Raw genomic sequence first — 22,510 nt, forward strand, 5'->3', positions numbered from 1 at the left:
ACCACAGTGTTATGAGGAATGTGCTACTAGTATTTTCCTTTTCAATAGGTCAGGAAACAGGCTTGGAGAAAATAACTTGCCCAAGATGCCACAGCTAGTTGGTATGGTGGAGTGGAGTTGAATCAAGTTCAGTCCTAATTCCAGAACCTAAACTTATTAATGCTGTACTACATTACATCTGTATACCTGAGCTAGGCTCTTTTGCTTATATTTTATTTAATTAAATAGATATTTTAAGGATTTGTTGGATTTTGTGAAATATGAAGAGGAGGAGGAGCGATATTCTGATAAATTATATGGATAGGAAGTAAAACAGATTTCCATCTTTTTTCTTTATTTTCTTTTAAAATTGGGATCAGATTCCAGTCCTGTTCGAAATCTGCAGTCTTTTGGCACTGAGGAGCCTGCTTACTCTACCAGAAGAGTGACCCGTAGTCAGCAGCAGCCTACCCCAGTGACACCGAAAAAATACCCTCTTCGGCAGACTCGTTCATCTGGTTCAGAAACTGAGCAAGTGGTTGATTTTTCAGATAGAGGTGAGTGGGTATGGTATGACTTAGACCTATTACAGAGCATCTGGGTGAAATTCTTTTTAAGGAGGGCTTGGGGCCACTGCAGGTAGATGCCTAATACTTCAGCTAGATGAATGCTGTTTGCTTGCTTCCTTTCTTATGTCTTTTTTTTTTTTTTTGAGACGGAGTCTCGCTCTATTGCCCAGGCTGGAGTGCAGTGGTGCAATCTTGGCTCACTGCAAGCTCTGCCTCCCGGGTTCACGCCATTCTCCTGCCTCAGCCTCCTGAGTAGCTGGGACTACAGGCGCCTGCCACCACGCCAGGCTAATTTTTTGTATTTTTAGTAGAGACGGGGTTTCACTGTGTTAGTCAGGATGGTCTCGATCTCCTGACCTCGTGATCCACCCGCCTCAGCCTCCCAAAGTGCTGGGATTACAGGTATAAGCCACCATGCCCAGCCTCCTTTCTTATACATTGCTGAGGACAGTTTGATATCAGAATATTCTCAAGGTCCAGAGTAGCTGGAGTATATTAAATCGTACCTGTAATAGGAAAAAGAGACTGGGCCCTTCTTAACCACATTTGAAAAGGGCTTGAAGCAGACTTTTCTTATAGCCATACTTCTCAGTCCATTTATCTCCAAATTTCTTAATGCAGAGGTCACAGACTGGTGAACTACTTCTAGCTGTCCGCATGGTTGGTTGGTTTGCTTGCACAGTGTTTAAAATTTTTTAAATTTGTTGCTAGTATTTGAAAACACAATGATTTCATATAAAAACCTGGATTAATAGTTTATTTTAAACAATGAAAAGATCTGGGAACACTGGGCGGCCAATCACCCATAGTAATAATTGGCTGGAGTTGAATAGTAGTTGTCCCCTTTAGATGGACAATGAGCTGTCTCTTTGGCCTTGCTGAGCCCCTGTAGGCATTTGGTTTGCAATTCCTGATTTAGAGTCTGGAATTTCAAGATTGAATTGTTAGACTACAAACAGGCTCACTCAAGACTCTAAGTCCATTCACATCTTACACCAAGCCTGTTCAGTGTCATCCAGAAAGATAATCACTGTCACTTATCTTCTGTCCTGTGTATCTCCTGGAAGGGAAGTGGGATAGTAATGTTTTAAAAACGTATTTCCATCTAGTTTTGATTATCCATGATTAGCAACTCAGGAGAAATACAGATAGGTGTAATAGATGAAGTACAAATTTAATTTTAATCAGAATTTAAAGTTGCACAAAATGGATGGTGTAGAAGTGCCTCTTCATTTTCCATTTAGCCATCTAGCAGATGAATAGCTGAAAGTTACTGGTTAAATCATAGAAAAAGAACCTGGGAAGCCCATAAACTCTGAATAGTAAACTTCTAAATAAATGAACTCCACTCATAACTTCTACCAATTGCTTTTGCTTTAGAAACTAAAAATACAGCTGATCATGATGAGTCACCGCCTCGAACTCCAACTGGAAATGCGCCTTCTTCTGAGTCTGACATAGACATCTCCAGCCCCAATGTATCTCACGATGAGAGCATTGCCAAGGACATGTCCCTGAAGGACTCAGGCAGTGATCTCTCTCATCGCCCCAAGCGCCGTCGCTTCCATGAAAGCTACAACTTCAATATGAAGTGTCCTACACCAGGCTGTAACTCTCTAGGTCAGTGTGCCCTAGCTTCATGACATCCTTTGTTCTGTGGTTCTCTCTCCCAGGATCATCCAGAAATGTTTTGTGTTCTGTTGGGATTTAGCTTCTTAGGCTCTTCAGTGGTCATGTGCTGAGTGATAATGAGTTGCTCACTTGAATAAAAGCATTTATCTTCTTGGCCGATGGTCCATAATAATAGATCTGGTTGTAAGGAAATTAACTATGATGAGCCATTCAGTTTATCCTAGAGCTTTTCCCAGTGAAAAATTCCCTCATTTTCCTAGCAAAAGCAAAAAAGACTATCTGCAGATATCTTACTGCATGGCACATAGCTCGTACTCAGTGAGGACTAGTTAAGGATAAGGTAGTGCAGAATAGTGGTTGCACGGCCATAGCTGTTAAGGAAATGAGAAAAACATTTCCTGTCAAGAGGCTGTGAAATTAGGAGTACACATGAGACCCTGGCCTTCTGTAACTTTAGTAGCTTAGGTTCCTTGCTTTGTGTACTTAGTAAGTATGAACAAGATAAAATATTTCTTCTGTGATAAATAAGTATCTTATTATATTCTTATGAGTTTTACCCCTTAGTGAATTACTTTAGAGATTCTTGTGGTTTGAACCTTATTTGTGCACCTTCAGTGAGCTGAGGTGCAAATATTGGGCTTAAGGTTTTGTCTAGAGTTGGAAGATGCTGATTGGGAGGTAAGGGGCCTTTCACTACTGGGTCTACTTCTCAAATTCACCCTTTGCATGTGGCTATCAAGTTTGAAAAACCGTAGAACAGAGTAAATTGCTGCTTGGCAGGCCAACAGTACACTTCCTGTAGTGTGTTTTGTTTGTTTGTTTGTTTTTGAGATGGAGTCTTGCTCTATTGCCCAGGCTGGAGTGCAGTGGTGTGATCTCGGCTCACTGCAACCTCCGCCTCCCAGGTTCAAGCGATTCTCCTGCTTCAACCTCCTGAGTAGTTGGGATTACAGATGCCCACAACCACACCTAACTTTTGTATTTTTAGTAGAGATGGGGTTTCGCCATGTTGGTCAGGCTGGTCTCGAACTCCTGACCTCATGATCTGCACGCCTTGGCCTCCCAGAGTGCTGGGATTACAGGCATGAGCCTTTTGTTTGTTTTTATAGAGAGACAGGGGTCTCACTTTATTGCCCAGGCAGAGGTGCAGTGGCATGATCATAGCTCACTGCAGCCTTAACTCCTAGGCTTAAGTGATCCTCCCATCTCAGCCTCCCAAGTAGCTGGGACTACAGGCACGTGGCTTTCAAGCTTGGCTTTTTTTTTTTTTTCTTGTTTTTTAGTAATGAGGTTTTTGCTGTGTTGTTCAGGTTGGTCTTCAACTCCTGGGCTCAAGCAATCCTCCCCACTCAGCCTGCTGAGTAGCTGGGACTACAAGCGTGAGCCACCATGCCCAGTGGTTTTCTGTAGTGTTTAATTAATTTGGATTGTTTCCTGGCCTTTTTTTTTTTTTTTTTTTGAGACTGAGTCTCGCTCTGTCCCCCAGGCTGGAGTGCAGTGGCGCGATCTCGGCTCACTGCAAGCTCCGCCTCCCGGGTTCACACCATTCTCCTGCCTCAGCCTCTCGAGTAGCTGGGACTACAGGCGCCTGCCACCATGCCCGGCTAATTTTTTATATTTTTAGTAGAGATGGGGATTCACCGTGTTAGCCAGGATGGTCTCGATCTCCTGACCTCGTGATCCGCCCGCCTTGGCCTCCCAAAGTGCTGGGATTACAGGCATGAGCCACCACGCCTGGCCATTTCCTGGTCTTACAGCAGTTTCTCAGATAATTTCAAACCATCGGAATAAATACAGCAAAGTTGTCTTGAACTCCATACCAGTTGTCACTCGAAGATAATTGTTTCAGGCCTGCATTGATTTCCTTGGAATAAATAATGAGAAAAACTAAGAAAGACAATATATTACACTAGTAGATGATATGATGGCTAATGTGCTTTAAGAGTTTAAGGGGATCTGCTTGCCATGCATCAAGAAAAGGAATTTTCCTCTGCTTCTGCTTGTTACTAACCATGCATTGCTAAATTGTTAATTTTATGTACTATATTTGGTCATTCATGCAGCAAATATTTACTGAATATTGGTCATGTGCCAGATACTGTTTTAAGTTATGAGGATGTAGCTATGAACAAGTCAAAGTCTCTGCCCTCATGGAGCTTATAGTCTAGCTGAGAAAGGCAAATAGATAGACGTGTAATATATCAACTGGAGATAAATGCTGTGAAGGAAAATGAAACTGGGAGTACTGAGGGTAGGATATTGTGTGTGTATATACATACATATGTGTATGTATATGTGACATATATATGTAGTTGGCTAGGAAAAGCTGCTGTGATATGGTCACATTTGAGCGGAGACTTGCTGTTGGAATATTTGAGAATAAGCATTATGGGTAAGGAGAACAGCAAGTGCTCTGGGCAAGAGAATAGTTAACCAGTTTGAGGAACACTTAGAGGCCAATATACCTGGGGCAGAATGACCAGAACGGAGAGGAGGAGATAGGTCAGAATGGGGCCTGATTGTGTTATTTATGCCCAGGAGTTAACCTCTTAATGGGGTAGACCATAGGGTAAATAAAAAATATGTTGTATTAGAGGAAAGTTTACTTGTATTTGTTTATTTATTTATTTTGGAGACAGAGTCTCACTCTATAATTACCAGGCTGGAGTACAGTGGCGTGGTCACTCACTGCAACTTCCGCCTCCCGGGCTCAAGTGATTCTCATGCGTCAGCTGCCTGAGTAGCTGGGGATTACAGGCATGTGCCACCACGCCTGGCTAATTTTTGTATTTTTTAGTAGAGACAGGGCTTTGTCATGTTGGCTAGGCTGGTCTCAAACTCTTGGGCTCAAGTGAAAAAGTTTACTTTGACTTTGGTTTTAATGTATTGGAACTTTGAAAAATATGAACCCGAGCTTCCAAAGTATCCTTTTTTTTTGAGGCAGAGTCTCACTCTGTCACCTAGGCTGGAGTGCAGTGGTGCAATCTCAGCTCACTGCAACCTCCACCTCCCAGGCTTAATTGATCCTCCAACCTCAGCCTCCCAAGTAGCTGGGACTACAGGCACATGCCACCATGCTCAGCTAATATTTGTATTTATTGTAGAGACAGGGTTTCACCATGTTGCCCAGGCTGGTCTTGAACTCCTGGGCTCAAGTGACCCTCCCACCTCAGCCTCCCAAAGTGTTGGGATTACAGGCGTGAGCCACTGCACCGGGCCCCAAAATATTCTTGACCCTAGTCTATTCCTTAAGAGTTTTATGTACTTGTGAAAAATTAAAACTCTATAGGAAAGTTTGAAGTGCATTAAGTAAAAATTGCCCTTAACTCATACCCGCAGAACTGTGCCACAGATACAAAACTTCTGTTTGCAGTTTTCTATGAATGCTTCCAAGAAGTTTTTCTACATATATAAGCACACGTATATGTACACATATTTCCTTTTTGTGATTATTCATAAAACGGAAAATAGGATACATTTGTTCGTTGTACATCTTGGATATTTGTATTTAGAGGCTTGTCTTTTTAAAAGATACAGAGAATTTCATTATATTGATAGTTTATAAATTATTTAAATTGTCTCATTGACATTTAGATTGTTTCTCATTTTTAGCTTTTTTGAACAATATTGTAATGGGTAGCCTTGTATGTACATATTTTGGTGTCTTTCTAGCAAATCTGTAGGATAAATTCAGAGCAGTGGAATTTTTAGGTCAATAGATCAGCTGTTCCTTTTTTACTGTAGATAATAGATTGGTTTTATTTAACATATAAAAGAAAACATGCCCTGAATAAATTACTAAGAAGTATGGATATGCCTGGGTGCGGTGGCTCATGCATGTAATCCCAGTACTTTGGGAGGCCGAGGTGGGCAGATCACCTGAGGTCAGGAATTCGAGACCAACCTGGCCAAGATGGTGAAACCCCATCTCTATTAAAAATACAAAATTAGCCAGGCGTGGTGGCGGCGCTTGTAATCCCAGCTACTGGGGAGGCTGAGGCAGGAGAATTGCTTGAACCTTGGGAGGTGGTGGTTGCAGTGAGCTGAGATTGGCCATTGCACTCCAGCCTGGGCAACAAAAGGAGTGAAACTCCATCTCAAAAAAAAAAAAAAGACGTATGGATACATAGTATCTGAAAAGCAAGTCTTGCAGTATTAATGACATTACTTTTTTTGAGACAGGGTCTCTCTGTCACCTAGGCTGGAGTATGGTGGTGTGACCATGACTCACTGCAGCCTTGACTTCCTGGGCTTAAGTGATCCTGGCACCTCAGCCTTCTGAGTAGCCAGGACTACGGGCATGGACTACCGTGCCTGGCTAATTATTTTTCTTTTTGTAGAAATGGAGTCTCACTATGTATGTCACCCAGGCTGGCCTCAAGCTCTTGGAATCACATAGTCCTCCTGTGTTGGCCTCCCAAAGTGCTGGGATTACAGGTGTGAGCCACTGAGCCCAGCTGATGCTACATTGTATGTATGGTATTTGATCAGTGAGGATGGTTTTTCGTGTTCAAGATAATTTTGCGGACCTCTAAAATTGCATTTTTTTTTTTTCTGAGACGGAATCTTGCTCTGTTGCCCAGGCTGGAGTGCAATGATGTGATCTTGGCTCACTATAGCCTCTGCCTCCCAGGTTCAAGCGATTTGCCTGCCTCAGCCTCCTGAGTAGCTGGGATTACAGGCATGCATCACCATGCTGGTCTAATTTTTATATTTTTTTAAGTAGAGATGGAGTCTCACCATGTTGGCCAGGCTGACCTCAGGTGATCTACCTGCCTCGGCCTCCCAAAGTGCTAGGATTACAGGTGTGAGCCACCGTGCCTGGCCCTAAAATTGCATTTTTAAAATTTATTTATTTTATTTTATTTTTTTGAGATGGAGTCTCGCTTTGTCACCCAGGCAGGAGTGCAGTGGTGCAATCTCGGCTCACCGCAAGCTCCGCCTCCCGGGTTCACACCATTCTCCTGCCTCAGCCTCCCGAGTAGCTGGGACTACAGGCACCCGCCACCACACCCGGCTAATTTTTTGTATTTTTAGTAGAGACGGGGTTTCACCGTGTTAGCCAGAATGGTCTCGATCTCCTGACCTCGTGATCCGCCTGCCTCGCCCTCCCAAAGTGCTGTGATTACAAGTGTGAGCCACTGCGCCCGGCCTAAAATTGCATTTTTAATAATACAGTCCCGGAGAAATGATGGCCTGAATGTCCTAAAATCACCCATTCACCAGTACTTGGACTGTTTTTTCCTTTTAAAGTTTATTCTATAAATTATGTTGTGTAAGCTTTAAACTCCACTTTCTTCTTTACCCCAAATTAAATGTCTTTTTTTTTTTTTTTTATGAAAGATGAAGATTTTTGTAGACTTGCTATTCAGGTTAGCTAACTTTTTATCTCATTAGCATTGTCCTATGACCCCTTTCAATCTTAGGTGTTTTATAAACCTTTTGGTTGAAGAGAAATATATAAAAAGGAAATAATGTTCAATTCCCTGTGTGTTTTCAAAAAAACCAAATGAAAAATAGATGAATGGGCCGGGCGCGGTGGCTCACGCCTGTAATCCCAGCACTTTGGGAGGCTGAGGCGGGCAGATCACGAGGTCAGGAGATCGAGACCATCCTGGCTAACATGGTGAAACCCCATCTCTACTAAAAATACAAAAAATTAGCCGGGCGTGGCGGCAGGCGCCTGTAGTCCCAGCTACTCAGGAGGCTGAGGCGGGAGAATGGCGTGAACCCAGGAGGCGGAACTTGCAGTGAGCCGAGATCGCATCACTGCACTCCAGTCTGGGCAACAGAGCGAGACTCCGTCTCAAAAAAAAAAAAAAGAAAAATACATGAATGAAGAGATACCCATTTAAATAAAACAAGCTTTCGTGTTTTGTTATTCCTAACATTTTTACGTCTTCAGAAGGCCTTGTGTTACTGCCTGTTTCAGGCGTGGCTCATGCCTGTAATCCTAGCACTTTGGGAGGCGGAGGCAGGAAGATTGCTTGAGTCCAGGAGTTCAAGACCAGCCTGGGCAACACTGAGACCCGTTTCTACAAAAAATTTTAAAATGGGCCCAGCGTGATGTTGTGAGCCTGTAGTCCCAGCTACTTGGGAGGCTGAAGTGGGAGGATCACTTGAGCCCAGGAGTTCAAGGCTGCTTTGAGCCATGGTTGCACCACTGCATTCCAGCCTAGGTGACATAAAAAAATTTTTTAAAGTAAAAAAATCTGATTATAGAAGAATCCTAAATCTTTAAGCAAAACTCAGTTCTCCCTCCAAAAAATAAGTATTTAATCTGGTTTAAAGTTATGTAAGTATGTTTACTTATATGATAGAAAAGGCCGCTTCTCCATTTTTCATAAATTTGAGTATTGAAAGGGGTTAAATTCAGGTTGGATAACATTGCACAGTAGAAAGAAAAGTACACTTATTCTACATATAACCTGATTAATTTAGTATAGGAGAGTTACATTCCACCAAAAGAAAGTGTTCCTGTTCATAGTCTTGGGCTTTAATTACAAATGTTGACTTCGTGACATTTTGAGATTTGAGAAGTCTAAGAGCAGAAAGAATTATAGTTTATATTGATCATACATAAGCATGTTCAAAGACTGCCAGATCCATCCTGTGGAAGAAAAGAATGAGTGTAAGTTATAGCCCTACCAGCCTTATGTTTGGTGGATTCAGTCTGATCAGACATATATTTGATAAAAATGATGTAGCAAAAAAACAGGTTTGTCTTAGAGAAACATACTACTTTCTAAGCTTGTCTTCTTTCTTGAGATTAAGTTTTCCCTCCTTTAACAGGACACCTTACAGGAAAACATGAGAGACATTTCTCCATCTCAGGATGCCCACTGTATCATAACCTCTCAGCTGACGAATGCAAGGTAATTGTGCTCTCATTTATTCAACACATGCTTATTGAGTGCTTACCGTTTGCCAGGCACTTTGCTGAACACTGGGGATACAGTGGCCAACAAGATGGGTAGGGTCCTTGTTCTTACATTGTAGTGGAGGAAACATAAAAAACAATGTGCTTTTTTAGAAAAAACTAGTTAAACAGACAAAAGAATTGTAATATGTAATGAGTGCTTTGAGAGAAGTTAACAAGGAGATTATGAAACGTTTGGAACATCAGCCACTAGTGCATTGATATTTTCTGTTGAAAATTGGCTTCGAAGACTGCTAGGGACTTATTGCACTAAGGAATAACTTGCATAAATATGTGATCTTAATATTTATGCATTCGGTTCTCTTCTCATAAATCTATGAAGTCATTTTGCTTTTAAAAACCTTTCATAATTCTTGTTCCTTTTTCTGTCCATTTCTGTGAAATACTTTTTGTTACTCTCAGTCACACCTACTTTTGGCTAATTCATCTTTTAAATTCTTGAAACCTAGCTCCTAAATAACCTTTGGGATTTTGAGATAATGTATTTAAGTAGAAGCTCAGATCCCATTTGTGCGTTCTTGTGTGGGTTGCTGTTCCCAAGGATGGAACCGAAGATCTAATTATGGGGAAGCAAGAGTGGAAAATGTTATTAATTAAATGGATTGCTTGAGTAGTATTGGACAGGTTATCTAAGCTGGTTAGACCAAAGTATTATTGTTGTTTTTGTTGTTACTTTGCTAGTGACACCAGGGTCACAGGTTTATTCCTGTCTGAGCCAATTTCATTGTGAGGAAAATTAGATTCCCTAGCTAACATTAATTTTCCTTGATTCAGAATTTGTTCTCTTATTTACAGGTAGACCGCAGGGGTGAAAGTTTCTTTTGTGTGGTTAGTCTTTCAGCAAAGTAGTGTACTTTCCGTGCTTATATGGATTTTAAGGTCAATGACCCTACTCTTATTTTTCTTCATTCCAAATCATTTTATAAGTGGCAATTCCTTCTGCTCTGTGTAAAAGTGAGTTGTAGATCTTCCCATTGTCCTCCCATTATTCTGGGACTAAATCAAAACAGAAAAAGCTGTGCCCACATCTATGTCAGAAGCAGGAAAGGCTTCAGGTACTTCTTTCTCAGAAAATAACTGCGATCCCTGCTTTTTGAGAGTTGTCCTCTACCACTTGTCTCTAAATACAATGATCTGATACTATGGATGGTTTTACATAAAAATCTTCCTGAGATGTCTTTTGCTTTTGAAATTGTTAGTTTGTAGCAATATGACCATGTAACGTTAAGCAGTTTATTTTAGAAAAAGAAAAATTTCAGTTTGGTGAAGAAAATTCTGACCAAAGGAAAACATTTCTATCTTGAATTTATCCTCTTTGTTCTCTCTTCTTTGCAAGGGGCATTAGGCGCAGAATAATCCATCTTTACTACTGGAACATGTGCATGGAGGATCAGGAGAATTTCTGAGATGATATATTTTTATTACATTTAGAACCCTAAGTGGAAAGATTAGACAAATTCCCCACATTTATTAACAGCTCTAGTGTTTTTGAAGAACCTGCATATACATGATTGCTCTTGAGTTTCCCAGGACACCCTTGCGATCAGTGATGTTACATTTGTATTCAGTCATATATTTCTGTAGCTGCATGTGCCAAATACAGGTATCTGAGGATTCAGTGAATAAAAGACTGCATTTAAGGAGCTCATGTTCTCACAGGGGGAGGCAACATAAACCTTCAAATTAATAAGTAAATAATTTTGTGTAGTGATAAATATTGTGAGGAAAAAAAGACGAATGATATAGAGAGAGTCTGTTTCGGGGGTGAGGGTAGGGATAGCACTGCTTTTCCCAGGATGGTCCTGGAAGACATTCCTGAGGAGATGGCATTTGATCTGGGACGTGAATGATGGCAAAGAAGCAGTTGTGTAAAGATCTAGAAGAAAAGATATCTTAAGTAGAAGCAACAGCAAGTGCAGAGGCCATGAGGCGCGGCTAAACTGATGGGTTTGAGAGGCTGAATGAAAGTAGGCCGTGTATGGCTGGATCCAGATCATAAAGGACCTTGTGGACCTTGGCACAGGAGTATATTTTTGTTCTGATAGAATGAGAAGCATTTGGGGGGCTTTAACAAAGGCATGACAGGATTTCAGGCACGCTTTTGAAAACTGAAGACTTGTTAACGTGGAGAATGGAGTGTGGGGGCAAGAGTTGATGCAGGGTATAGGGTGCTTGGGAAACTGCATGGAAGTTCAGGCAGTAGTTGGTGGACTGGACTAGCTTTGTATCGGCAGCAATTCTAAGACTAGGTTGGATTCAGGATACGTTTTAGAGGGGAGCAACCCGTTAGGCTTGCTGATTGATTTGATGTGAGGTGTGAGAAAAGAGAAGAATCTAGGATAACATTCAAGTTGTTGACTGGATCAGCTATTTAGACAGTATTGCCATTTATTAATACTGGGAAGATTTGGGGTAGAGCAGATTTGTGGAGAAATGCCAGTCGTTCTGTTTTGACCATTCTGAGTTTTAGTGGTGAAGTGGAATAAGCAGTTGGATATCAGTTCCCAATTCCCAGATTATGAAACAGAAACTGTTGAGAGCTGATGTGATTTGTCTGAGGTCATGTAACTACAGAATTAAGTTTCCCTGGAGACTTGAACCCAGGTTTTCTTTTTTTTTTTTTTTTTTTTTGAGACAGTCTCGCTCTGTCACCCAGGCTGGAGTGCATTGGTGCAATCTCAGCTCACTGCAGTCTCAGCCTCCTAGATTCAAGCAATTCTCATGCCTCAGCCTCAAGTAGCTGGGATTACAGGTGTGCGCCACCACGCCTGGCTAGTTTTTGTATTTTTAGTAAAGACGGGGTTTCACCATGTTGCCCAGGCTGGTCTTGAACTCCTGGCCTCAAGTGATCTGCCCACCTTGGCTTCCCAAAGTGCTGGGATTACAGATATAAGGCACTGCATGTGGCCAAGCCCAGGTTTTCTTTCTTTCTTTCTTTCTTTCTTTTTTTTTTTTTTTAAGACAGAGTCTCACTCTGTTGTCCAGGCTGGAGTGCAGTGGTGCGATCTCGGCTCACTGCAACTTCTACCTCCCGGGTTCAAGCAGTTCTCCTGCCTCAGCCTCCCGAGTAGCGGGGATCACAGGCGCCTGCCACCATGCCTGGCTAATTTTTTGTATTTTTAATAGAGACGGGGTTTCACCATGTTGGCCAGGCTGGTCTCAAACTCCTGACCTTAGCTAATCTGCCCGCCTCAGCCTCCCAAAGTGCTGGGATTACAGGCGTGAGGCACCACACCCAGCCCAAACCCAGGTTTTCTAATGTTTTCTTTGTACTTCCATACTCTATTCTTGCACTTCCTCATGCTTTTTTAATTTATTTATTGTACTTTGAGAAGAGTCCAGGCTCAGAGTCATCAGACATGATTAAAACCTTAGTGATCCCATCATTTAGCTGGATCATTTCAACTTCTCTGATCCTGTTATTGGCTGAGAAGGCAGAATGTGAATCTTGCATTATCTCTTTCTTGTAGAGATTGTGACAATAAGTGTGAAGACCCTTTGAAAGTAAAGTACAACATAAATCCAAGGCATTATCATTGTATTCTTATGCTTTAAGTAAACGTAGTCTTAGAAGCAGGTGGATTTATTGACGTTGTTGATGGTTGCAGGTGAGAGCACAGAGCCGGGATAAGCAGATAGAAGAAAGGATGCTGTCTCACAGGCAAGATGACAACAACAGGCATGCAACCAGGCACCAGGTATGGGCCTTGTTAAAGCACTGGCCATTCATAGTTTGAGGTCCGTTTCTTGGATCTCCTCTATAATTGTCTTCAGGCATGTCTGTGCCTCATTTCCTGTGGTATATCTTCCAGATGTAAACTTAGAATCATGTTTGTTTTTCAAACAGTAAATTTTCATAAAACAAACACTTCTACCTCATGAATGAAGGAATCATGCTATCTACAGTAGTAGTAATAGTAGTAGCAGTAGTAGTAGTAGATAATTCTGATTATTTGAAAGATTACACTTGCTGCTTCATTTCCTCACTTCGCATCCTTTAAGACTATTGTAGCTTTCAAACCTCTCCACTCTGCTAGCACCTTTCCAAGGCCACCAGTGACTTTTCCCCAGCATTTGACACTTGCTGACTGTGTTATTTGTCTTCTACTTATCTCTTCCCTTGGTTTGTAGGGAGCATCCTGGCTTGGTCCTAAACCTCCTCCTGCCTCTCTGAACATTCCTGCCACATTGGTTCACTTACTTCCTTGTTCTTCCCTAAATGCCTTTGGTCTTCACTCTTCCTGTTTTCCTGCCTGGAACGCTATACCTGTACCAAGAACAGATGGTATTTTCTTTCAAGGCCCGTGCAGTTCTCAGCTGTTGGAGGAATTTTTCCCAAATTCTCTCCCACCGTTAAGGAATTTCTTCCTTATGTATTCCCATTGTAGTGCTCTCAAAATGTTAGCCTTTGTGACATATTATATTTTGTTCATCATTTAGGTGTCTGTTTTTGCAGTTAGATTATAGTTGGATAGCAGAGATATATGGTGATGAGGAAGAAGTTTGACTTTGGAGCCAAACAGATGTGAATTTGAATACTGATTATTTAACTCTAGCTATGTTGTCCCGGGCAGGTCAACTAACCTATTTCTTTGTTAATAAGAAGAGGTGAATAATGCCTACCTGGCAGGGGAGTCAGCTAAATTATGTATGTAAAGTACCTATACCCAGTGCTTGGCAGGTAAAAAGCACTCCATAAGTGGTAACTACACTTTTCTTCGTTGTCTATCTTAGGTTTAATTTAATTTAATTTATTTATTTTTTAGACAGAGTTTCACTCTTTTTGCCCCGGCTGGAGTGCAGTGGTGTGATCTCAGCTCACTGCAACCTCCATCTCCCAGGTTCAAGTGATTCTCTTGCCTCAGTCTCCCAAGTAGCTGGGATTACAGGGGCACGCCACCACGCCCAGCTAATTTTTGTATTTTTAGTAGAGACAGGGTTTCACCATGTTGGCCAGGCTGGTCTTAAACTCCTGACCTCCAGTAATCCACCTGCCTTGGCCTCCCAAAGTGCTGGGATTATAAGCATGAGCCACGGTGCCCAACCTTGGGTTTTATTCTTATTCAGTTTTTCTATTTAAATTAATACATATAAATGAATTTTTGTACCACTGTTGATCAGATCAATAAGCATTAATTGGAAAACAGTAAGCATTCTATAAATGATTAGTTGAAATGATCTTAATTTTATTCTTGTTGCTTTGGTGGAGACGTCTATCCTTAGTTTATGTTAGTAGTAAAATAAGTTTGTATTCCTGAACCTATATTTAACTGGCAGTAAAGGTGGTGGGTGATGAGAACCTGATTTGGAATTTTTAAATTGCCATATTCATGAAAAATTTAGCTGGGCGTGGTGGTGTACACCTGTAGTCCCAGTTACATGGAAGACTGAGGCAGGAGGATGGCTTGAGCACAGGAGGTAGAGGTTGCAGTGAGCCGCGATCGTGCCGCTGCATTTCAGCCTAGGTGACAGAGCGAGACCCTGCCTCAAAAATAATACAAATGAATAAAATAAAATTGCCATATGATTTGCATTGTGGCTAGAAAATTTCTGGCATTTTTTTCTCTTTAAAATTTTTTTACATGTTTTGGTACCTTCTTTTTTTTTTTTGTTTTTGTGCCAGAGTCTCGCTCTGTCTCCCAGGCTGGAGTGCAGTGGCATGACTGGCTCACTGCAACCTCTGCCTCCCAGGTTCAGGTGATTCTCCCACCTCAGCCTCCCGAGTAGCTGGGATTACAGGCGTGCACCACCATGCCTGGCTAATTTTTGTATTTTTAATAGAGATGAGGATTCACCATGTTGTCCAGGCTGGTCTTGAACTCCTGATCTCAGGTGGTCTGCCTGCCTTGGCCTCCCAAAGTGCTGAGATTACAGGCGTGAGCTACTGTGCCGGGCCTTGGCACTTTCATTTTGAAGCTTAGCTTTATAAGGAGTTTTCTCTCAGTTTTCTCCTTTTTCCTTTTAGGCACCAACGGAGAGACAGCTTCGATATAAGGAAAAAGTGGCTGAACTCAGGAAGAAAAGAAATTCTGGACTGAGCAAAGAACAGAAAGAGAAATATATGGTGAGGGAAAGTTAAATATTTAATGAGCATGAACTCCTGCTATCACATTTGATTCCTTTTGCTTTCTGAGCTTCTGCCTTTCAGATTTGCCATTTAGTATTCTCCACATGTGAATACCAATTGACTCTTCTATGGCACTTAGAGTTTATTTCATCCCCCAAAACTGAATTGTTGAGAGTGGAAACAGGAGGTCTTGGGAAAATGAAATACAATTAGAATTTAAATTTTAAAAAATTTGATCCTCTAGTTGTTCATAAATTTTACTTTCATCTTAAAGGGTTAAATTTACCCGCTAGAACACATGCCATGGCACTGGAAATGTCTGTATGAAGAAAAATATTCAAGCTTAATAGTAGTCTGCTTATTTTAATGGAAAAATAGATTTCCTCCATGATTAAAAGGTATTAATTGGGTGAATATTCTGTAATAGACCTTCTTGTAGTATTTTAACATTTTTTTCTAACTTTAGAAGTAATGTACATTTGTAAGAGAATTTAGAGTGATTAAGCAAAGTATATGGAAGAAAACAAATCCTACTACCTAAAAATAGCCACAGTTAGTGTTTTTGGATATATCCTAGCTTTTTCACAATCTCTTATTTACATAATTACCTTCTTACTGTATGTAGCACTTTGAATTCTGTGTTTTCGCTTAAAAATCTTTTTTTTTTTTTTTTTTTTGAGACAGTCGGCCAGGCTGGAGTGCAGTGGCACAATCTCGGCTCACTACAACCTCTGCCTCCTGGGCTCAAGTAATTCTCCCGCCTCAGCCTCCCGAGTAGCTAGGATTACAGACATGTGCCACCACGCCCAGCTAATTTGTGTATTTTTAGTAGAGACGGGGTTTTACCATGTTGGCCAGGCTGGTCTCGAACTCCTGACCTCAGGTAATCTGCCCACCTCGGCCTCCCAAAGTGTTGGGATTACAGGCGTGAGCCACCATGCCCGGCCTTAAACATCTTTTTTTAGGAAAAGATTTTATTATAAATGTATTAATACATGCTTACTACTGAAAATACCAAAAATATAGAGAAGAAACATTCCAATAAAAAAAAATTGTCCTTCAAGATACAAACCACTGCTTAACATTTTGATGTGTGTTCTTTCACAGTCTTTTTCTTTTTCTTTCTTTTTGAGACAGAGTCTTGCTCTGTCACCAAGGCTGAAGGCTGGAGGCTGGAGTGCAGTGGTGCGATCTTGGCTCACTGTAACCTCTGCCTCCTGGGTTCAAGCAGTTCTCTGCCTCAGCCTCCCAAGTAGCTGGGATTACAGGCGCCCACCACCACACCCGGCTAATTTTTGTATTTTTAGTAGAGATGGGGTTTCACCATGTTGGCCAGGCTGGTCTTGAACTCCTGACCTCGTGATCCACCCGCCTCGGCCTCCCGAAGTGCTGGGATTATAGGCATGAGCCACTGCACCCAGCCTTTTTTTTTTTTTTTTTTTTTTTTAAATTTATTTATTTTAAATTTTAGATAAGGGTGTACATGTGCAGGTTTGTTACATAGATCTATTGTGTGATGCTCAGATTTAGGCTTCTAATGATCTTATCCTGTCACCCAAGTAGTGAACATAGTGATAGGTAGTTTTTCAACCCTTGTCCGCCTCCCCACTCTTGGAATCCTCAGTGTTTATTGTTCCCTTCTTTGTGTCCCTCTGTACCCAGTGGTTAGCTCCCACTTATAAGTGAGAACATGCTGTGTTTGGTTTTCTGTTTTTGTGTTAATTTGCTTAAGATAATGGCCTCCAGTTGCATCCATGTCGCTGCAAAGGACATGATTTCATTCTTTTTTATGGCTGCTCTTTTAGATTTTTTTCTGACATTTTAGTTTTTTTCATAGAATTGGAATGTTTTCTTATTCAGCCATTGGGATAGATTCTTAAACATAGGGCATGTGAATACTTAGTCAGAGCATGGCTTCACTAAGACAAAAATATGCCAGACTATGCATAGTTGACCCTTCGTATCCATGGATTTTGTTCCTGTGGATTCAACCAACCACGGATCGGAAATATTCCGGGAAAAAAATGTGGTTTGTACTGAATGTGTACAGACTTTTTCTTGTCATTATTTCTGAAATAGTAGTGTTAACAGCTATTTACATGGCATTGACATCACATTATAAGTAATCTAGAGATGACTTAAAGTATACTGCTGGATGTGCCCAGGTTATATGCAAATATGACATCATTTACATACGAGACTTGAGCATCCATGGATTTTGTTATATGCAGGGAGGTTGTGGGGGCGTTCCTGGAACTGGTCCCCCAGGGATATCAAGAGATGACTGTATTTCCTTTTTTTTTTTTTTGAGGCGGAGTTTTTGAGACAGAGTCTCACTCTGTCACCCAGGCTGGAGTGCAGCAGTGGTGCAATCACAGCTCACTGCAACCTCTGCCTCCTGGGTTCTGGGTTCAAGCAATTCTCCTGCCTCAGCCTCCTGAGTAGCTGGAATAATAGGTGTGGGCCACCACACCCAGCTGATTTTTGTAATTTTAGTAGAGACAGGGTTTTACCATGTTGCCCAGGCTGGTCTCAAACTCCTGACCTCAAGTGATTTGCCCACTTCGGCCTCCCAAGGTGCTAGGATTACAGGTGTGAGCCAGCACACCTGGCCTGTATTTACTTTTTTGACAGTCATCACTGTCTTAAATGCTAATTTTATGAATACATGGACATAGGCCAATGTAAGATGGGTTGTGGGGTGAATTTGTAGTTAGACCTTTACACCAGACTGTGTTGGTTTGTACAGTGAGGGCTTTAGTAGTGGGCTATAGGGTACCAGATTGTTTGCTTGCCCCAGTCTTGTTCACTGTTTCCATCTGCAAACTTGTTAGAAGGGTAATAAGACAATGATACCGTATATTGAGTGATTAGTGCTAGGCACTGTGATTGTGACGTTCCTTTGATCTTTTAACAGTCCAGTATGATTGGTGATATTTCCCATATTTTATATACAGGAAAACTAAGACTGAGAGAGGTAACTTACCTAAAATCATACAGGCAGAAAGAGTGTCTGAAGTAAAAGTTCTTGAAATTTTTAACCTTAACAAACATCTGCTCTGCTTTTTAGTAATTTGGGATAGGTTATTAGGACCCAACCTCCTTGATTAAAATGCTGGCTAGGACTTTTTTCAAGCTTTTTTTTTTCCAGTGTTCCTCAAAATAGAAGAAATAACTAATGCGTAGAACCCAAATCTTAGATGATAGAGTCCAAATTTAAAAAGATTCACAGCAGATGGAATCAGATTAACCGGAAGAAATTTTAATAGGGATAAAGATACTGATGAATGGTCTCTTCATATGGTAATATGTGTGTGAAATCTATAATGTTTTCCTGAGATAAGCCATCCACTCCACTTAACTACCATTATCTCCTATTCTCTGGATGGGAGGTGGAGCCTACAACAGAGTGGGAAGGGCTGAAATCAAAGGCTTAAAAGGGAAGTTTCCTTTGTAGAATCTCTTTCCTGGAAAGGATTCTTGTAGTGACTGCCATGGTAAGATTAGGGAATTATTTAAGACTGGATTATTCTCATGCTTTTAATTTTCTATGGCTTTCACCTGTCTTATTCTTGCTTAATATTTAGTAAGTCATTTTTAGAGAGTCCAGCCTATTTTTCTGTGTATGTGGACTGGAGTTTGAGGGTAGCACGCCTTTTGCAGACAGCATAATGGTGGCTGGAGCAATTCAAGTGAAAGAAGTTACAAAGGACTGCTTCATCCAGCTGCCCCTGCCCCTCCCTTCCTGCAGATTTTCTTTTGAGTCTAAAATCTTAGACACTAAGGCTTAGAAAATCTGGTTTTTGTTTGTTTTGTTTTTAAATCGGGGAGTATCTACCAAAGCTCCTTCCAAATCTCAGGATTCTGGGAATTTGTAGTGTCTCTGGGTTTGTTGTACTTTATTTATTTGTACTGTCATGTAAATTTTTACATGAAGGAACAGCGTTCTGATCCACAAAGTGTATCTTTTCAGAGATAGAAGAATGAAGCTCCCTTCTGGAGCTGTGGGAGCATTTCCTCTCCAGAATCACTGGGGTGGGTAGTGGGAGTCTTGTGGCATTAACCTGATAAGTAGTATGTCTTGTGCTCAATCCCTAGCACCTAGTATGTAGGCACTAAATAAATAGCTTATGGTTGTGTGGTTTGCATGGATTGAAATGAAATAGATTAAAAAGTTCTTAGAAGCAGAGAGTATCAGAGTATCACGCTCTGGTTATTTTCCTAGGAACACAGACAGACCTATGGGAACACACGGGAACCTCTTTTAGAAAACCTGACAAGCGAGTATGACTTGGATCTTTTCCGAAGAGCACAAGCCCGGGCTTCAGAGGATTTGGTGAGTATTAAAACCTCCAAACTGAAGGCCGCTTGTGAAAGGTGCTTAGAGTTGCCAGGAAAAATGATTGCAAATCAGTTTGATGGGAATTAAATGTACCTTGCTTCTGGAATCTCTTTCCCTGTCTCCCAGCTGTCCCTTTTTGGAGACTAGCCTTCCCTTTCAGATTTAAAATGAATCACCCCTCCTCCCTTCCTTTTTTTATTCCCTGCTTTCCACCTCGGCTCCCGGAAGTACCAGTTTGGCTAGAGCTGATGAGGCTGGATAAAACCATAGGCGCCCCTTTGTCTCAGCTGGGCAATTTGCAATTCTGAGAACCTGTAGCCTAGGAGAGACTCATCTCTGTTGTTTTCTTAATCCCAACAGGAACTCCCCTTTTGCTAGGTTTCCTCTGCACTAAGAATGAAAATAACAGTGAAGAGGAATAATGGAAAAGGCTGTTGTCAGATGTTTTAGAATTAATCTTTGACACAGCCAAGTTTGATACATTGGTTTTCCATTCTGATATTTATTTAGAGCTAGTTTATACTGAGTTGCTGTCCTAGGCAGAATTTTTAACAACTTTGCTTGAAGAAAATTCTGGTGATTGAGTTTACCTCTGATATAACAGATTAAATGTGTTCAGGGAAGCTCAGTTTTAAAGTGAATCTCGTCTTCACCCCCTTCCCCCTTGTATTAAAAAAAAATTGTATCAAATACTAGACTTGTTGAAAACTTGGCAGAGGCAGGGTTTGCTGGCTACCCTTGGCTGGGATGGGCTGTTACTGCTGCTGGTTTTCTCTATCCTATTCTGGCATGGAGCATTTCCTGGGCTAGCCTTTTACAACTTTACACCTGGTTATGCTTACAAATTATACTTTTGTAGCCAACTCAGAGCCACTGAATGGAGATGGATATCCGAATTTTTTTTTTTTCTGAGACAGGGTTTTGCCCTGTTGCCCAAACTGGAGTGCAGTGGTGCCATCATGGCTCACTGCAGCCTCGACCTTCAGTGCTCAAGCGATTCTCCCACGTCAGCCTCCTGAGTAGCTGGGACTACAGGCATGCCACTACACCCATCCCAGAAATATTTTCTGCCTTCTAGAGTTTAGATTCTAGAATTATCATGCACATTTCAAAAATATTTTTTAAAGGGCCTGTTTTTTTTTCTAAGTGACCATTGTGGATATATTTCACGGAGATTCATATAGCTTTATAAAAGCTTCTGCAGATAAGTAAGGCAGATTCTAAATCAAGTTTTTTGTTTAGTTTTAGAATACTTTATAAGGGTGGGGAGTTTGTATCTGTGATGATTTTCTTTATAATTCAGTTTGGTCTAGGCTGATAAAAATGAAGTTTCCAAGGTATCATTCTGGTGAGGCCCAGAATGTGGGAGGTAGCAGAGAAACCTCTCTTTTGAGACCTGTGCTCTGGGCAGTATGGGTAGTAAGTTTTCTGTACACCTGTGTGATTTTTCATGTAGCTCTCTTTAGTGTAAATTCTCATGGATAGAAGCCAAATCTGTCTGATTTTTTTCATAGCCTAGCGTGGTGGCATGCACACACACTTTTAAAAACAAAGATAATATTTATTTTTTTAAAAAGGAGTTTCGCTCTGTCTCCCAGGCTGGAGTGCAGTAGTGCGATCTCGGTTCACCGCAGCCTCTGCCTCTTGGGCGATTCTTCTGCCTTAGCCTCCCAAGTAGCTGGGATTACAATTGTTTGCCACCACACCTTGCTAATTGTTGTATTTTTAGTAGAGATGGGGTTTTGCCATTTCGGCCAGGCTGGTCTCGAACTCCTGGCCTTAAGTGACCTGCCTGCCTCAGCCTCCCAAAGTGTTGGGATTACAGGAGCCACTGTGCCCTGTCTAAAAGCAAAGATAATAAATTCTGATCCTCCTTTGACTTTTGATTTCTTGGCAATAGGAGAAGTTAAGGCTGCAAGGCCAAATCACAGAGGGAAGCAACATGATTAAAACAATTGCTTTTGGCCGCTATGAGCTTGATACCTGGTATCATTCTCCATATCCTGAAGAATATGCACGGCTGGGACGTCTCTATATGTGTGAATTCTGTTTAAAATATATGAAGAGCCAAACGATACTCCGCCGGCACATGGTGAGTTGTCTTGGGTTCCTCTGCCTTGACCATGATGGCAATAAGCTGTAGGATCTCTAGATTTTGCCATAGCGATGGCATCTGTTCAGGCACCTTCTCAGTGGTCCTCAGCAGTGGGATGAAGGCATAGGAAATGACAGGCCACAGCTTAAGGCGGGGTATAGAGCCTGAGGTATGGCTTGTGCTGGGTGCCACCCAAAGCAGCTGAGGGCCCTTACCCACATCCTGTCATGTACATCTTCTTGTCTTTTGTTCTTGCTGCCTACTGCTCTTCATTTCCTCCTTGGAATATGAATTACCTCTGCCCACAGGTTTTGTGTGTCCCAAACTAGATGAAAATACAGACTTCATTAGGCACAGCAGAGACAGCATGGCTCACCTTCATATCCCTAGCAACTAGTGTGGACAACTGATGCCCAAGAAGTATATGTTGAATGGGTACTTATTAATATTTAATAGTGATCAGCCTGTGACAGATTATGAAAGTAGCAGAGTGGGTCCTTTGGTGCCTTCCCCTCTTTTTCCTAATAAAACAGGTATAAGGAGTTGAATCTGTTATTGTTGACAAATAGGTTTACTAGATTTTTTGCAGCTTCAAAAAAAAAGCCATTTTTCCCCCGCTCTGTTACAGAATAAGCTTTGTCTTAAGGGGAATTTCTGCCATGGAGCAAGGGTGCGGAACAGGGGAAGGAGTAGAGATTAGCCTTTCAGGCAGAGAAGACTTTTTCTTGTTTTTTTTTTTTTTGAGAGGGAGTCTTGCTCTGTTGACCAGGCTGGAGTGCAGTGGCGCGATCTTGGCTCACTGCAACCTCCGCCTCCCAGATTCAAACGATTCTCCTGCCTCAGCCTCCTGAGTACCTGGGACTACAGTCGCACACCACCACACCTG

General features: G+C 41.5%; 1 protein-coding gene across 6 annotated transcripts in view, besides 3 other annotated features; it reads left to right on the forward strand.

The window, feature by feature from the left end:
• Positions 1-22,510, forward strand: part of KAT7 (lysine acetyltransferase 7) — a 46,346-nt gene that overhangs the window by 7,710 nt on the left and 16,126 nt on the right. The window contains exons 3-9 of one of the 6 annotated variants that reach the window (NM_007067.5): positions 360-536; positions 1,929-2,168; positions 8,973-9,055; positions 12,729-12,818; positions 15,086-15,184; positions 19,413-19,523; positions 21,430-21,621. In NM_007067.5, coding sequence (NP_008998.1) covers positions 360-536; positions 1,929-2,168; positions 8,973-9,055; positions 12,729-12,818; positions 15,086-15,184; positions 19,413-19,523; positions 21,430-21,621 — 992 coding nt within the window. The remainder of the gene's footprint in view (positions 1-359; positions 537-1,928; positions 2,169-8,972; positions 9,056-12,728; positions 12,819-15,085; positions 15,185-19,412; positions 19,524-21,429; positions 21,622-22,510) is intronic. The other 5 variants (NM_001199155.2, NM_001346706.2, NM_001199157.2 and 2 more) reach the window with 5 other exon arrangements.
• Positions 5,949-6,450: an enhancer, noted in NCBI's record as "H3K27ac hESC enhancer chr17:47879701-47880202 (GRCh37/hg19 assembly coordinates)". NCBI's record gives its function as "activates a minimal SCP1, AML or CMV promoter by ChIP-STARR-seq in naive H9 embryonic stem cells {active_cell/tissue: H9 hESC(naive)}" and the evidence as "EXISTENCE:reporter gene assay evidence [ECO:0000049][PMID:30033119]".
• Positions 6,451-6,950: an enhancer, noted in NCBI's record as "H3K27ac hESC enhancer chr17:47880203-47880702 (GRCh37/hg19 assembly coordinates)". NCBI's record gives its function as "activates a minimal SCP1, AML or CMV promoter by ChIP-STARR-seq in naive H9 embryonic stem cells {active_cell/tissue: H9 hESC(naive)}" and the evidence as "EXISTENCE:reporter gene assay evidence [ECO:0000049][PMID:30033119]".
• Positions 19,287-20,279: an enhancer, noted in NCBI's record as "OCT4-NANOG-H3K27ac hESC enhancer chr17:47893039-47894031 (GRCh37/hg19 assembly coordinates)". NCBI's record gives its function as "activates a minimal SCP1, AML or CMV promoter by ChIP-STARR-seq in primed H9 embryonic stem cells {active_cell/tissue: H9 hESC(primed)}" and the evidence as "EXISTENCE:reporter gene assay evidence [ECO:0000049][PMID:30033119]".

This window comes from Homo sapiens, chromosome 17, assembly GCF_000001405.40.
Source record: "Homo sapiens chromosome 17, GRCh38.p14 Primary Assembly".
NCBI classification, from domain to species: domain Eukaryota; kingdom Metazoa; phylum Chordata; class Mammalia; order Primates; family Hominidae; genus Homo; species Homo sapiens.